At 41.2% G+C, this 14,347-nt stretch overlaps 1 long non-coding RNA gene across 1 annotated transcript; it reads left to right on the top strand.

Moving 5' to 3' along the window:
- On the top strand, positions 4-13,842 carry ZFP69B-DT (ZFP69B divergent transcript). The gene is made up of 5 exons (NR_198977.1): positions 4-223; positions 11,477-11,518; positions 11,643-11,723; positions 13,432-13,511; positions 13,595-13,842. It is a non-coding gene; the product is annotated as a ZFP69B divergent transcript (long non-coding RNA).
- Positions 13,843-14,347: the final 505 nt, after the last annotated feature.

Below are 14,347 nucleotides of genomic sequence, written 5' to 3'. Positions count from 1 at the left end.
AGCATGGTTCCCAGCGTCCTCCCGGGGAGCCGCTCCGCCAGCGCAGACGCCCCCACCGGTGCGCGCCGGGTTGGCTGCGTTCAGGGGCTCCCAGTATCCGATCCCTGCGAGCATCATCAGCCTGGCTCCTGCGGGAGGAGATGGAGCCTGCGTTCTTGGGCCCCAGACTCTGATGAAGAACAACCATCTTTCCTCCGCTGGGAAAATGCACGTGAACGTTAGGGTGAGCCTTTGAAACCCGTGACAAAAGGGAGCCATCGGCATCACGTTTTTTGGTGAAACGACACTGGTGTAAAATAATCCATAGCACTTTCCCTAAATATTATGTACATGCCAGTTATTTATTCTCAGCAGACAGTTGAATGGATTCCGGTATATTGTTAAAAGAATACCACAACAGTTTTCTCTTCTAGTATTCAATAAAAGTTCTCATGTTTATTGCTTACCTTGTATTTCTGAAATGCCAGAAAATACACAAAAACAAAAAAATTATTGCCTGTAATTTCAGCAAGCAGCGGTAACCTTGCTAACAGTTGGTGTACAACCTTTCCTGCACACACACAACGTATTTCATGCATTGTTATATATTTTCCACAAAAGCGATTATACTGTAATGCTGTTTTATTGCTGAGTTTTCTCCCTCCAACAAAATTTGAGTACATCACTCCAAATACATTTCTACATCAACAGTTTACAAAAACAACAAATGAGGAAATAGAATACAATTATAGTACTTGCTAGCTGTTATGAACCGAATGTTTGGATTCCCCAAAATTTATCTTGAAGCCCTAACCTCCATTGTATTTGGAGAGTATTTAGAGATAAGGCCTTTATGGAAGTAATTAAGGTTAGAATATAGTCCTAGTCAGAAACGAACCCAACTCGACCTTACTTGGGGCTTCTAGTCTCCACACTGAGAAAATAAATTTCCGGTTTTTTGTTTGTTTGTTTGTTTGTTTTTTTGAGATGGAGTCTCGCACTGTCCGCAGGGCTGGACTGCAGTGGCGTGACCTCGGTTCACTGCAACCTTCGCCTCCTGGCTTAAAGCGATTCTCCTGCCTCAGCCTCCCAAGTGGCTAGGATTACAGGCGCCCGCCACGACGCCCAGCTAATTTTTTGTATTTTTAGTACAGACGGGGTTCCACTATGTTGGCCAGGCTGGTCTCAAACTCCTGACCTCGGTGTCTGCCCGCCTCGGCCTCCCAAAGTGCTGGGATTACAGGCATGAGCCACTGCGCCCGGCCAGATATCCGTGGTTTAAGCCACCCAGTCAATGGTATTTTGTTACAGCAGCCCAAGCTGATGAATACACTAGCATATAATAGTTACAGAATATGAGGCTCTGTCCTAAGTGCCTTTCATATTTTAACTTATTTTGTCATCACAGAAACCACTGGAAGTAAGTACTATTATTATTCCCACTTTACAGATAAGAAAACTGAGATTTAGAGAAGTTGAATAACTTGCCAAGATCATGTGGCTTACAAGTGGTGAACACAGGCAGTCTATGTTCCTATCTGCTACTCAACAAAAATACAGCATGAAATACAATAAAATGTTAATGGTAGAATCTAAGTAGTGGTATAGGGATGCCGTAATGTAAAATTCTTTCAATTTTTCTGTATATGTATATGTTTTCATAATAAAATATCAGAAAAATACAGCTAAGAATAAACAAGAATTATGCAGGAAATTATAAATAAAACTCCAAATTTTTTGTTTAAATGGTGAGAATAGTGATACAACACATTCACGAGTTGAAATAGAACATTCTAAGTATGTCACTCTTCCTCCAGTTCACATAAACTGTGATGCATCCCAATCAAAATTTCAACTTTTTCGGCCGGACATGGTGGCTCACACCTGTAATCCCAGCACTTTAGGAGGCCAAGGCGGGTGGATCACCTGAGCTCAGGAGTTCGAGACCAGCGTGGTCAACATGGCGAAACCTCATCTCTACTAAAAATACAAAAATTAGTTGGGTGTGGTGGTGTGTGTCTGTAATCCCAGCTACTCAGGAGGCTGAGGCAAAAGAATCGCTTGAACCCAAGAGGTGGAGGTTGTAGGGAGCCAAGATCATGCCACTGCATTCCAGCCTGGGTGACAGAGCAAGACTCCATCTCAAAAAAAAAAAGAAAATCAACTTTTCTTTTTACTAAACTAAATGATTCTAAAGTTTAGCTAGTATGGCAAGTGTTCCAGAATGGCCAATAATGTTTTCCAACAATAATGAAGGCAGACTTGCCCTACCAGATATTACCTTGTATTATGGAGGCAAAATAATCAAAATAAAACTAGTGCCAAAATATACTCGGAAATCAGTGAGATGAAATTGGAAACTCAGAAACAGACTTGACACTTTATTTAAATTTAGTATATTGTAAAGCTGGCGTTTCAAAGCAGCTGGGTAATGATGGATTATTCAACAAATATCATTAGGACAACTAGTTAGCCATTTGGGGAACAGTATGAGTCTTCACTGGCTGACAACAAAATACCATAGACTGGGTGGCTTAACCAACAGAAATTAATTTTCTTATAGTTCTGGAGGCTGGGAAGTCCAAGATCAAGGGGTGAGCAAGGTAGGTTTCCTTCTGAGGCCTTTTCTCTTGGCTTGTAGGCAGCCACCATCTCCTTGTATGCTCACAAGACCTCTTCTTGTGTGCTTGAGGAGAGTGAGCTCTCTGATGTCTCTTCTTTTAAGAACACTAATCCTAACAGATCAGGGCCCCACCCCTGTGACCTCATTTAAACTTATTACTTCTATAAAGGCCTCATCTCCAAATACAGTCACTTTAGGGGTTAGGGCTTCGACATACTCGTTTGTGGCAGAATACAAACACTCAGCCCATAGCAAGAACAAATCAAGTTGGGTTCCTGCTGTACATGTTACACATCGTATAATTTCAAGAAAGTAAAGTTTTGTTTTCTTTTTCACTTTTTAATTTTTTTAATTACCCCGTATCCTAGTCAAAGTAAACTTTTGTTTTAAAGTAAAAGCACAACTGTTAACGTGTTCACATAAAGGTGATTCTAGCCATAGTTTTGGGATAAGAAACTATTCTATACATAGGTTTGTGATTAAGGCCCTATTATTTGCAAGTAACTAGCTCACCAGAATTGCTTTCTAAGTTAAAATGATTATTATTATTGTTGTTGTTGGAAGGATTCTGGAGTCTTCAGGAATTCGAGGAAGAACTGGTTAGCCTAGTCTGTGAAAGTTTACGAACCAGCGGATTTCTGAGCACCACAAAGCAAATGCCCAGAGAGATGCCCTCTAAACCACCACCCTTAACATGATTCAGCTCTGGCAACTTTCAGTTGTGTTACTCAGTTCAAAATTCCAAATTTTGGCAGGATCATTTGATCATTTGGCTTTGACCAGGGGCCACGGAGTGTCATGGTAGAAAGACTTGGCTTCTGGGCACCCACCCCATGAACAGTTAGCAGTTCCCAACGAAGGGGAAATGTTTCAGACTAAGGAAAAAGATGAATGCTCCTGAATTTATTCAATAACAGAAGTAGAACTTTAATACTAAACCATGATTTTTCAAGTACAAAAAAGAAAAGTATAGATTAATTTATGACTGTAAGTACAAATATTCTAAATAAAATATTGACAAATAGAACTAGTGATTAATTTTTAAAAATATATATGACCAACCAAGTTTTTCCCAGGAATATAAGGGTGTTCCAATACCAGGAAGCACATTAACATAACCTATAACATCAAATTCAAGAGGAAAAACTATATGATCATGTCAATAGTCAGTGAAAAAGACTTTAATAAACTTTAGCAGTCATTTCTGGTACATCATTATCTGCTTAACAAGTAAAGAGCATTTACTGTTAGCCAACTATTGTTCTAATTCATGTACTAAAAACTCTAAGTAAAATAGGAATAGAAGGAGATTACTTGGTATAGACTGAATGTTTCATCCCCACAAAATTCATATGTTAAATCCTAACTCCCAATGTGATGGTATTTGGAGGTGAGGTCTTTGGGAGGTGATTAGGTCATGAAGGTGGATCCTTCATGAGTGGGATTGCTACCCTTATGTTGGAAGTAAAGCTCGAAGTTGCGAAGAAAATGAGCACTTAAACAAAAGATTTCTTAGCAAGGCAAAATTTACTTCTGTAGAAGGGTGCTGTTCGCAGGTTTGGTCACCATGAGAGCACACTGAACAAAGGAGGGAAGGGGTTTTTATTCCTAATGCGGCTTGTCCCTGTCACTGTGTCCTGCCTCCATTGGCTGGAGTTGGACCGCACAATCTAAGCTGAACCCAACTGGCTAATTCGGAATGTGGTTACACTGGTGAGAAGGGCAGTTTTGGCAGGAAGAGCCATTGCAACGGGAGGGGTAATTTACAGAGTGGGTAGCAGATGTGGTCTCTGTAGACAAGGACTGGTGAGAAAGTTGTTTACTGAAACTAACATAGGGAGGCACAAAGGATAAGGAAGTTGGTTTGGCCTTGGAAGTAGGCAACAAAGAACGGGACGCTGAACAAGCCAAACCTTTGAAGAGGAACTTCTTTTGTATCTGACACCTTATAAAAGAGGCCCCAGAGAGCTCCCTGTCCCTTCCTTCTACCATATAAGGACACATCCAGAAGATGGCCTCTGGGAACCACCTGCTCAAACCTTGATCTTAGAATTCCCAGACTTCAGAACTGTGAGAAATAAATTTCTGTTGTTTATAAGCCACTCAGTCTATGGTCTTCTGTAATAGCAGTCCAAACAGACTAAGACATTACTTCTAAGAAAGACTATTTACAAAAATAAAAAATGTAAATGGTACCCTAAATAGTGTAACAATAAAACAATTTCAAATAAAATCAGAAACTTGCCATCATATTAGTTTGTAACATTGTCTTAGAGTATTTGTCAAATAAAATAAGAAAACTAGCACAAATATTGGAAAAGAAGAGGTAGAGCTATATCTTTTTGCTGATGACATGATACCATATCTAGAAAAAGTCTGTAACAAAAACTGCTAGAATTAATAGGAGAATTGATGTGAGATAGTTGCCTCATAAGAAATACACACAAAATAAATATTTTCCTTGCTTTAGAAATGAGCATGTAGAAATTAGTAGGGCTGGGCATGGTGTCTCACGCCTGTAATCCCAACACTCTGGGAGGCTGAGTTGTGTGGATCATGAGGTCAGGAGTTCGAGACCAGACTGGCCAATATAATGAAACCCCATCTCTACTAAAAATACAGAAAATTAGCCGGGCGTGGTGATGGACACCTGTAATCCTAGCTACTCAGGAGAATGAGGTAGGAGAATTGCTTGAACCCAGGAGGCAGTGGTTGCTGCAAGCCGAGATTGCACCATGGCACTCCAGCCCAGGCAACAGTGTGAGACTCTGTCTCAAAAAAAAAACAAAAAAAAGAAATGAGCACCTAGAATAGAATGGAAGTGGGATATATTCCATCCTCAGAAGGAGTAATTCTACCTATAAAATATTTAGAACAAATTTAATAATAAGAAAATAAAGGTGAAGAAAATACAAATAAAAATCATTAAAAGGCATAAAACAAGATTTGTGTAAATGAAAATGTATATCATTCATAGAGGAGATTTGCTATCATAACAATGTCAGATAATATAAAATGATTATAATTCTGATTAGAGTCCCAGCAGGGTTTTGTTTTGATTTTGGAACTAGATTTTAAAATCTTAAAATTTATGCAAGAATAAAGGTCCAATACGACACAAGAAAAGTCAAGAAAAGAACGGTGATGGGGGACTTGGCTTACCAGATAGCACAACACACTAAAAAGTCACTTTCTCTGTCCATTTTGTACTGCTATAATAGAATATCTGAGACTTGGTAATTTATAACAAACAGAGATTTATTTCTTACAGTTCTGGAGTCTAGGAAGTCTGAGATCGCGGGGCCCATATCAGGCAAGGGCCTTCTTGCTGTGTCATCCATGACAGATGGCAGACGTGCAAGAGAGCTGGAGAGAGCAGGAGACTCAACCCAAGACCTCAAGCTCTTTTATAAGGCATTAATCCATGCATGAGGGCAAAGCCCTCATGACATACATACCTCCCATTAGGACCTACTTCCCAACACGGTTGCCCTGGGGATGAAGTTTCCAACGCCTGCTTTCTGGGGGACATATTCAAACCATTGCAGTCGCCATAGCCATATGATTATGATTCTGGCATGAAGAATGACAAAGAAACCAATGAAACAGACTAGAGAATCCAAAACTGATTCTAGTACATATGAGAATTTATTAAATGACAAAGATGGAGGCTCAATTCAGTAGGAAATGGATGAATTGCTTAATAAGCGAAGCCTACGGAATTCTAGTATTTATCAATCTAGAAGAAAATAAAGTTTTGACATGGGTCCTCATCTTAAACCATATTCAGAAATAATTCCAGCTAGGTTAAACTCTAAAATATAAAATATAAAAATAGATCAAAATCCTGAAAATCTAGTGGGAGAGATGCTTTTAACCAAATCTACAGACCTAGTCAATGTACTTGACTATTTAAAAATTAAAAATCTTTATAGGCAAAAGATGTCTTAAAGTCAATATACAGATGACACACCTAAAAAAAAATCCGTAATGCAGATGACAGACAAAATCAGTATTTAATTGTCTTTAAAACATCATTTAATTTGAGAAACATCATTATTTTATGTACTACTAAAAAAGAAAAATGCTAGGCTGGGCACAGTGAGTGGCTCATGTCTGGGTGACAGAGTGAGACCTTGTCTCAAAAAAAAAAAAAAAAAATTAGGCCGGGTGCAGTAGATCACGCCTGTAATCCCAGCACTTTGGGAGGCTGAGGCAGGTGGATCATGAGGCCAGGAGTTCAAGACCAGCCTGGCCAATATGGTGAAACCCCATCTCTACTAAAACTACAAAAATTAGCGGTTGCAGTGGCAGGTGCTTGTAATCCCAGCTACTTGGGAGGCTAAGGCAGTAGAATTGCTTGAACCCAGGCAGCAGAGGTTGCAGTGAGCCGAGATTGCGCCACTGCACTCCAGCCTGGGCAACAGAGTGAGACTCCATCTCAAAATAAATAAATAAATAGTAAATTTTAAAAATGCTACTGTTTAATTAACGCACAATGTTTTCTTACAATTTAAGAGTTTTACACTTAACAAAAGAGCTATTTGGGATATTTTGGGTGTAAATTTTATCACATCTCATGCTGCTCTGCTTCTGTGCCATTTAATGTACATGATCTTTTTTTTAATTGTAATGTCAAAGCACCCTGTAACTTTTTTTTTTTGTTTTGAGACAGAATCTTGCTCTGTCACCCAGGCTGGAGTGCAGTGGTGCAATCACGGCTCTCTTAAGTCTCAAACTCCCAGGCTGTAGCAATCCTCCCAGCTCAGCCTCCCGAGTAACTAGGACTATAGGCACATGCCACCAAGCCTGGCTAATTTTTTTATTTTCTGTGGAGACAGAGTCTCACTGTGTTGGCCAGGCTGGTATCAAATTCCTGGGCTCAAGTGATCCTCCCTCCTCAGCCTCCCAAAGTGCTGGGATTATAGGTGTGCCCAGCCAAAAAATATGTACCTTTTTTTTTTTTTTAAGACAGGGCCTCACTGTCACCCAGGCTGGAGTGCAGTGGTGCAAACTAAGCTCACTGCAACCTCCACCTTCCGGGCTCAAGCGATCCTCCCACTTCAGCTTCCCAAGTAGCTAGGACCACAGGTGTGTGCTACGACACCCAGCTAAAAAAAAATCTCAATACAGTACTTTTATTCAGATAAAAAGTTATCTGAATATAGTACTTTTGACAAAGCAATCCCACTCCTAAAAATGCGTCCCTTGGAAACAAAAGCATTGTTTCAAAGGACAGTTGTACGAAGGTGATTATTACAGAACTGCTTCTTCTAGCAGAAAATAGGAAATTAAATGTCCACCCGTAAGGGATTTGCTGAATAAATGATACAGCCACACCAAGGACTTAAAAAGGCCTTTTGAAAGAATCCATTAGCACTATGCCATCACTTGGCAGGATTTCCATAAGATCTTTTCCAAGTGAGAAAATCAAATTGTCAAAAAATTTGTTAGATTAAATCATATGGACTTCCTAATATTCGATCAATTTTAACATACAAAAGGGGTTGGGCGAGGTGGCTCAGGCCTGTAATCCCAGCACTTTGGGAGGCCAAGGTTGGCATATCTCTTGAGGTCAGGAGTTTGAGACCAGCCTTGCCAACATGGTGAAACCCCATCTACTGAAAATACAAAAGTTAGCCGGGCGTGGTGGCAGGTGCCTGTAATCCCAGTTACTCGGGAGGCTGAGGCAGGAGAATCGTTCGAACCCAGGAGGCAGAGGTTGCAGTGAGCCCGGATCGTGCCACTGCACTCTAGCCTGGGTGACAGAGGGAGATTGTCTCAAAAAAAAAAAAACAAAAGGGACAACTTCATGTGATTCAGCCAATAATTACCCCCACAAATATGTCTGGTTGTTATTTGTGTGTGTGTAGTGTGGATTATCTGAATACAGAGGCAAATACAAACTAGAGTGTTAACATGCACAAATTTAAAAAAAAAAACATTATCTGAAATCAGATTATTTTCTCATAACACTGACTTTAACAAGGGATTTATGCCAAATGATGTTGGCTGCATCATAATGAAGCTCTGGATTCCCTTTTTAATTTTAGTAAATGTATTCAAAAGAGAACAATTTGTCTACTGGACATAGGAAACCATTACATGACATAAAAAAATAAATCCAATAAGTTCAACTTGTAAATAAAATAATGAAAAGAAGTATTAATAAATCCAATCAATTTACAAAAGCATGTATCTGAAAATAAGTTTCTCATTGGGAAGAATAAAACTTTATCAGTTTAAGGCCGGGTGTGGTGGCTCACGCCTGTAATCCCAGCACTTTGGGAGGCCGAGGAGGGCGGATCACTTGAGGTCAGGAGTTCAAGACCAGCCTGACCAACATGGTGAAACCCTGTCTCTACTAAAAATACAAAAAAATTAGCCAGGCATGTTGGCGCATGCCTGTAATCGTAGCTATTCCGGAGGCTGAGCTGGGAGGCAGAAGTTGCCGTGAGCCAAGATCACACTCCACACTCCAGCTTGTACGACAGAGCGAGACTCCATCTCAAAACAAAACAAAATCTTTATCAGTTTAAAAGGGGGAGAGATAGTTGGTTTATTATCAGTTATTAAAAAAAAAGGCCTTATTAAAAAAAAAAAAAGATGGGCTTAAGCTGAGGTGAGAGGATCACTTGAGCCCAAGAGTTTGAGACCAGCCTGGGCAACATTGGGAGACTCCATCTTAAAAAAGTAATAATAATAAACAAGGCTGGGTGAGGTGACTCACACCTGTAATCCCAGCACTTTGGGAGGCCAAGGCGGGCAGATCACCTGAGGTCGGGAGTTCAAGACCAGCCTGATCAATATGGAGAAACCCCATCTCTACTAAAAATACAAAATTAGCCAGGTGTGGTGGCGTATGCCTGTAATCGCAGCTACTCAGGAGGCTGAGGCAGGAGAATTGCTTGAACCAGGGAGGCAGAGGTTGCGGTGAGCCGAGATTGCGCCATTGCACTCCAGCCTGAGCAACAAGAGCAAAACTTCGTCTCAAAAAATTTAAATTCAATTAAGTTTAAAAAATAAACAAAATTATCCAGGAATGGTGGCGCATGCCTGTAGCCCCAGCTACTTAGAAGGCTGAGGTGGGAGGATCACCTGAGCCCAGGAGGCCTAGGCTGCAGTGAGTCAAGACTGACTGCGCCACTGCACTCTAGCCTGGGCTAGACCCTGTCTCAAAAAAAAAAAAAAAAAAAAAGATGAGCTTCTATGTTTCTATTTTTCACCACTGGAAACCTAATTTATAAGTATGCATAGTGTGTGTAGAGGCAACAAACTTAACTGTATTATCTGATGGAATTATAAACTAATCAAAATTATGAGAAATTTTTGTTTAATAAACTGTATTTCAATAGGACATCTAATACAATATCTAGAATCTGTTCTTCAAAATGTGTCAAGTTATTTGGTCATGTCTCCAAAGGTAGTGAGGAAAGAGCTCCTTATCTACTCGTCTCTGCCATTGGATTCTGAAAACCCCAATGAAGACTTTTTTTTTTGAGATGGAGTCTTGCCCTGTCGCCAGGCTGGAGTGCAGTGGCTCAATCTTGGCTCACTGCAACCTCCGCCTCCCAGGTTCAAGTGAGTCTCCTGCCTCAGCCTCCTGAGTAGCTGGGACTACAGGCGTGCGCCACCACACCCAGCTAATTTTTGTATTTTTAGTAGAGACAGGGTTTCACCATGTTGGCCAGGATGGTCTCGATCTGTTGACTTCATGATCCACCCACCTCGGCCTCCCAAAGTGTTGGAATTACAGGCGTGAGCCACCACGCCCAGCCCAATGAAGACATTTTATCAAGTCATTTAAGTGTCTCTTCATCATCTTCAAAAATACAGTTTCAGGGAGTTAATAACCATATCATTTCAGTTCAGATGAGTTAATAATCATATCATTCAAGCAAAAGGAACCTGACTCACCATTATAAAGAGGCATGCCCCACAACTCCAGTTACACAACACGGTAATTTAAGGCACTTGATCTCTCAAGTGGAAAACTGGTTTAAACCTTGCCTTGCAGGACTGAATTGAGATTGTTCACGTGATATAGCCAGTGCCAGTTAGGCATGCGCTGTTACAAAGGGTATGTAATCCGGAAAGATGAAGATGTTTTAGCATCTTGAAGAGATAAATAGGGATTCTTCTGAGGGAAAACCAATGAGCTTCTGAACAAAACGAGAAGCTGCTTGAAATCACTGCCCATCTCTTCATAGAACTGAGAAGCAGAGAATTCAGTGACCCACTCTTATATGATTGGCAATTTTAACAGCTTTGTTAGGTATTTGTCTTAAACCTTCATGCCCAGGTTCTTCCTGTGCATAATCAGTAAACTTTATTCAAATCACCACCACTGTTCACGTTTCCATTACAATCTCCAGCCTTATCCTTTAGAAATACCATTTTCATCACTGATTCATGATAGAATCAAAAGGAAATTAACATTATCAATACTGACAGTGAGGTCCAGTTCCAATTTGCAATTATATATCCTCCTACATATTTTCCATAACTAATGATTGTCAACTTCCAGCAGAAGAATGCTGAAAACAATGCAGGAGGGATTCACACTAGCACTCGGCATCATCTATACTTCCATACTTCTGAGCATGTATCATGGAAGGTTTAGTTAGAGTAGCCAATGCTGTTTCTGCCCTGTGCATATCCTTGAGACCTTCCAGTGCCTCCAGCAAATGCCGGAGGCCAGTATCTGCATCTCTCTGCCAGGAGCTGGGCTGCCCCAAATATCTGAGAATTATTACTGACCATGCCACCATAGTCCCACCAACAGCCCTCAACCAATGACATTTGGTAGTTGGTATGAGAATGCCTGGTCTGCTCACCACTAGGTGGCATAATTCTGAATATTGTATTTTGCAGATTCCCAGTTTCACTGAGATTAAGCTCCAGTCTCCTGCGATGGTAGCTAACTTCAAAGTGTATCCTTTATTGGTTATCTTCCTTTTCCTATCTCATTTCCCCCTCTCCCTATTGGTATTTCCTGTGTTTCCTAAATAAACTATTTGCACTGCAATCCTTGTCTTAGGGTCTGCTTCTGAGATAACATAAACCAGGCAGTCACTGAATGCATGAACAATAAGCCTGTAAGTTATGGAGTTCTTGTAAGGTGAGTTATCATGTCTTACCAGCCTACACTACCCTCATCCCAAGGAATGACATCCTTGAAATTTCATCTTTAATGTGCCAGTTACATTTCTCTCAGTACACATTAAAAATGAATAAACAGATAATTCATCAAGGTATACATTTATAATTTGTATACTTTCCTATATGTAGAATACACTTCGATTACACAGTTAAAGACATAAATACACAATAATTGAAATCATCTTTCAGAGTCACAGTCACCTCTGGTTCTGAGTTTCTGCTTCCAGTGAGTTCATTCAGTTATAGATCATCTTGCCACCCCTACTTTATCTAGAATTTTGCTGGAATCCTTTCTCTTCAAAGAACAACCTTCACTAACACATGAGGGTAAACAGAAAGTGATCGTTCTTCTCTTGTCCTCCTCTCTGGAACAATCCTCCAGGATCTTGGGTCACTTTTCAGCTACTGGTTTCACTCAGAATGGGTACTCAAAGCTAATACCCCTTCTCTCTCCTGGGAGACAAGGGGACAGATCAAAGCCACACTCATCTTTCTTGCCTTAAGCTCCCACAAAATTAATAAACCAGACTGCAGTTTTTATGCTAATTTTAGGAGAGAATCAGGGAAATTCAGAATTAAAGCTGTAGTTAACTTGGACTTTCCTAAAGAGAAAGTACCCAACGATGTAGGGCTTCACAAGGATGACAGTCCCCACCCTCATCCCACAGGTGCCCTTTTCTTTGAGAGACTTACAGTCTACAATTCCCTTCCCTGGAAAACTGAATTCCTTGTCAAAAGAAGGGCCTCCTCCCCTGGCCTTTATTCCTCCCTGTCTCTGTCTTAAATTCTATTTAAAGGGAGTAGTTGGAACATATGCATTTAGCTCCCTCATAAAAAATCATTACTGTAGAAAAAGGGATTTAAAGCCAGAGGCATGAACCCACAGGGACACATTGAGTGGAAGAGAAGAAAAATAACAAAAACTTTTGGAAACTGGAAAACAAATAGATGAATGGTGATGGACTTATGAGTCCTGAAAAGGCTGAATCCTAAGTGGGCAGAGGGGAAGGCCAAGAGGAACCCAACTTCCCTTGCAGAATCCTGAAAAGCAGAGAAATAGGTTGCCTGGAGTACCCTCTAAAAAGGCGGAGTGAAAGCAACGCTAAAAATAGAATACAGGCCAGGCGCGGTGGCTCATGCCTGTAATCCTAGCACTTTGGGAGGCTGAGGCGGGCAGATTGCCTGAGCTCAGGAGTTTGAGACCAGCCTGGGCAACATGGCAAAACCCCATCTCTACTAAAAACACAAAAAACGGCTGGGCGCAGTGGCTCACGCCTGTAATCCCAGCACTTTGGGAGGCCGAGGCGGGTGGATCACAAGGTCAGGAGATCGAGACCATCCTGGCTAACATGGTAAAACCCCATCTCTACTAAAAACACACAAAAAATTAGCCGGGCGTGGTGGCGGGCGCCTGTAGTCCCAGCTACTCGGGAGGCTGAGGCAGGAGAATCGCTTGAACCCAGGAGGTGGAGGCTGCAGTGAGCCGAGATCGCGCCACTGCACTCCAGCCTGGGCGACAGAGGGACACTCTGTCTCCAAATAAATGAATAAACAAAATAAAATAAAATAAAAATTGAATGCCGGTGGCAAATCTGCTGAAGAAGCAGTTATATTCCCAGCGTCCCTCCACTACTCTGTAGGTGACTGTTGTTCTTTTACGTCCGCAGAAGACTGAACCAGTAGTTTCAGGAGAGGATAACACAGAGGAATCTCTGAACAGCAGGACACCAGGCACAGCTGAAGACAGGTTACTATGCTGAAAATGGTGGATGGGATGGGGTGAGGATAAATGAAAATTTACACACTTAAGACTCCCAACCTCCTTTTCAGAACTCCCACCCAGATCTACACTCTCTGGGCAGCAAATTTGAAGAAACGTCTCCAGTGACTCCAGGTGGCCTAAGAGAAAAGACCTAAGCACACTGACACTGGGGTTTCCCCAGGAACGCACAGATCACCACCCAATTCATATGGGCAGCTCTGGTCGCAGGGTACCAAGAGTGTCATGATCTGCAGTTCAATCTCCCCAGGGCCAGATGGAAAACTAGTTACTCGCCAAAAAAGGCATCATTTCAAAAACCATAGTTGCCTCCTTTGTGATTCTTTCTTTGGGGCTTGTAAGAGTCTCTACAGCGTCCAGATCTGCAACTGACCTACTGAATCATAAGGGCTGGGGCAGAGCTGCCTGTTGCCTAAACAAGAAGAGACTTCCATCATTCTGTGCTCCACTTGAAGTAGGCAAGTTGTCCAAAAAATTGTTTGAGTCAACACACTCGAATATGACACATGTACTTCACACACAAAAAAGACTCACCACGTACTGTACTTCTTTTTTAATAGAAAGGGATAAAAAGTTCAGCAACTTGTCCCTCACTTTAAAGGGGTTATCTTAACATGCCTAAAATTAGTCATTGATGTGACAGGACTCCTTATAGATTATGATATGTTATAGTTTGCCCATTACTTCCTGCTTAAAATAATAATCATTTATTATCTCTCCCAGTTTCCATGAGTCAGGAATTAGACAGGGTACAGTGCAGACAGCTTGTCTTTGCTCCGTGATGTTGGAAGCCTAGCTGGAAG

Source organism: Homo sapiens, chromosome 1, assembly GCF_000001405.40.
Source record: "Homo sapiens chromosome 1, GRCh38.p14 Primary Assembly".
Taxonomy (NCBI): domain Eukaryota; kingdom Metazoa; phylum Chordata; class Mammalia; order Primates; family Hominidae; genus Homo; species Homo sapiens.
The sequence above is the reverse complement of the archived record's forward strand: the minus strand, read 5'-3'. Positions and strand labels throughout refer to the sequence as shown.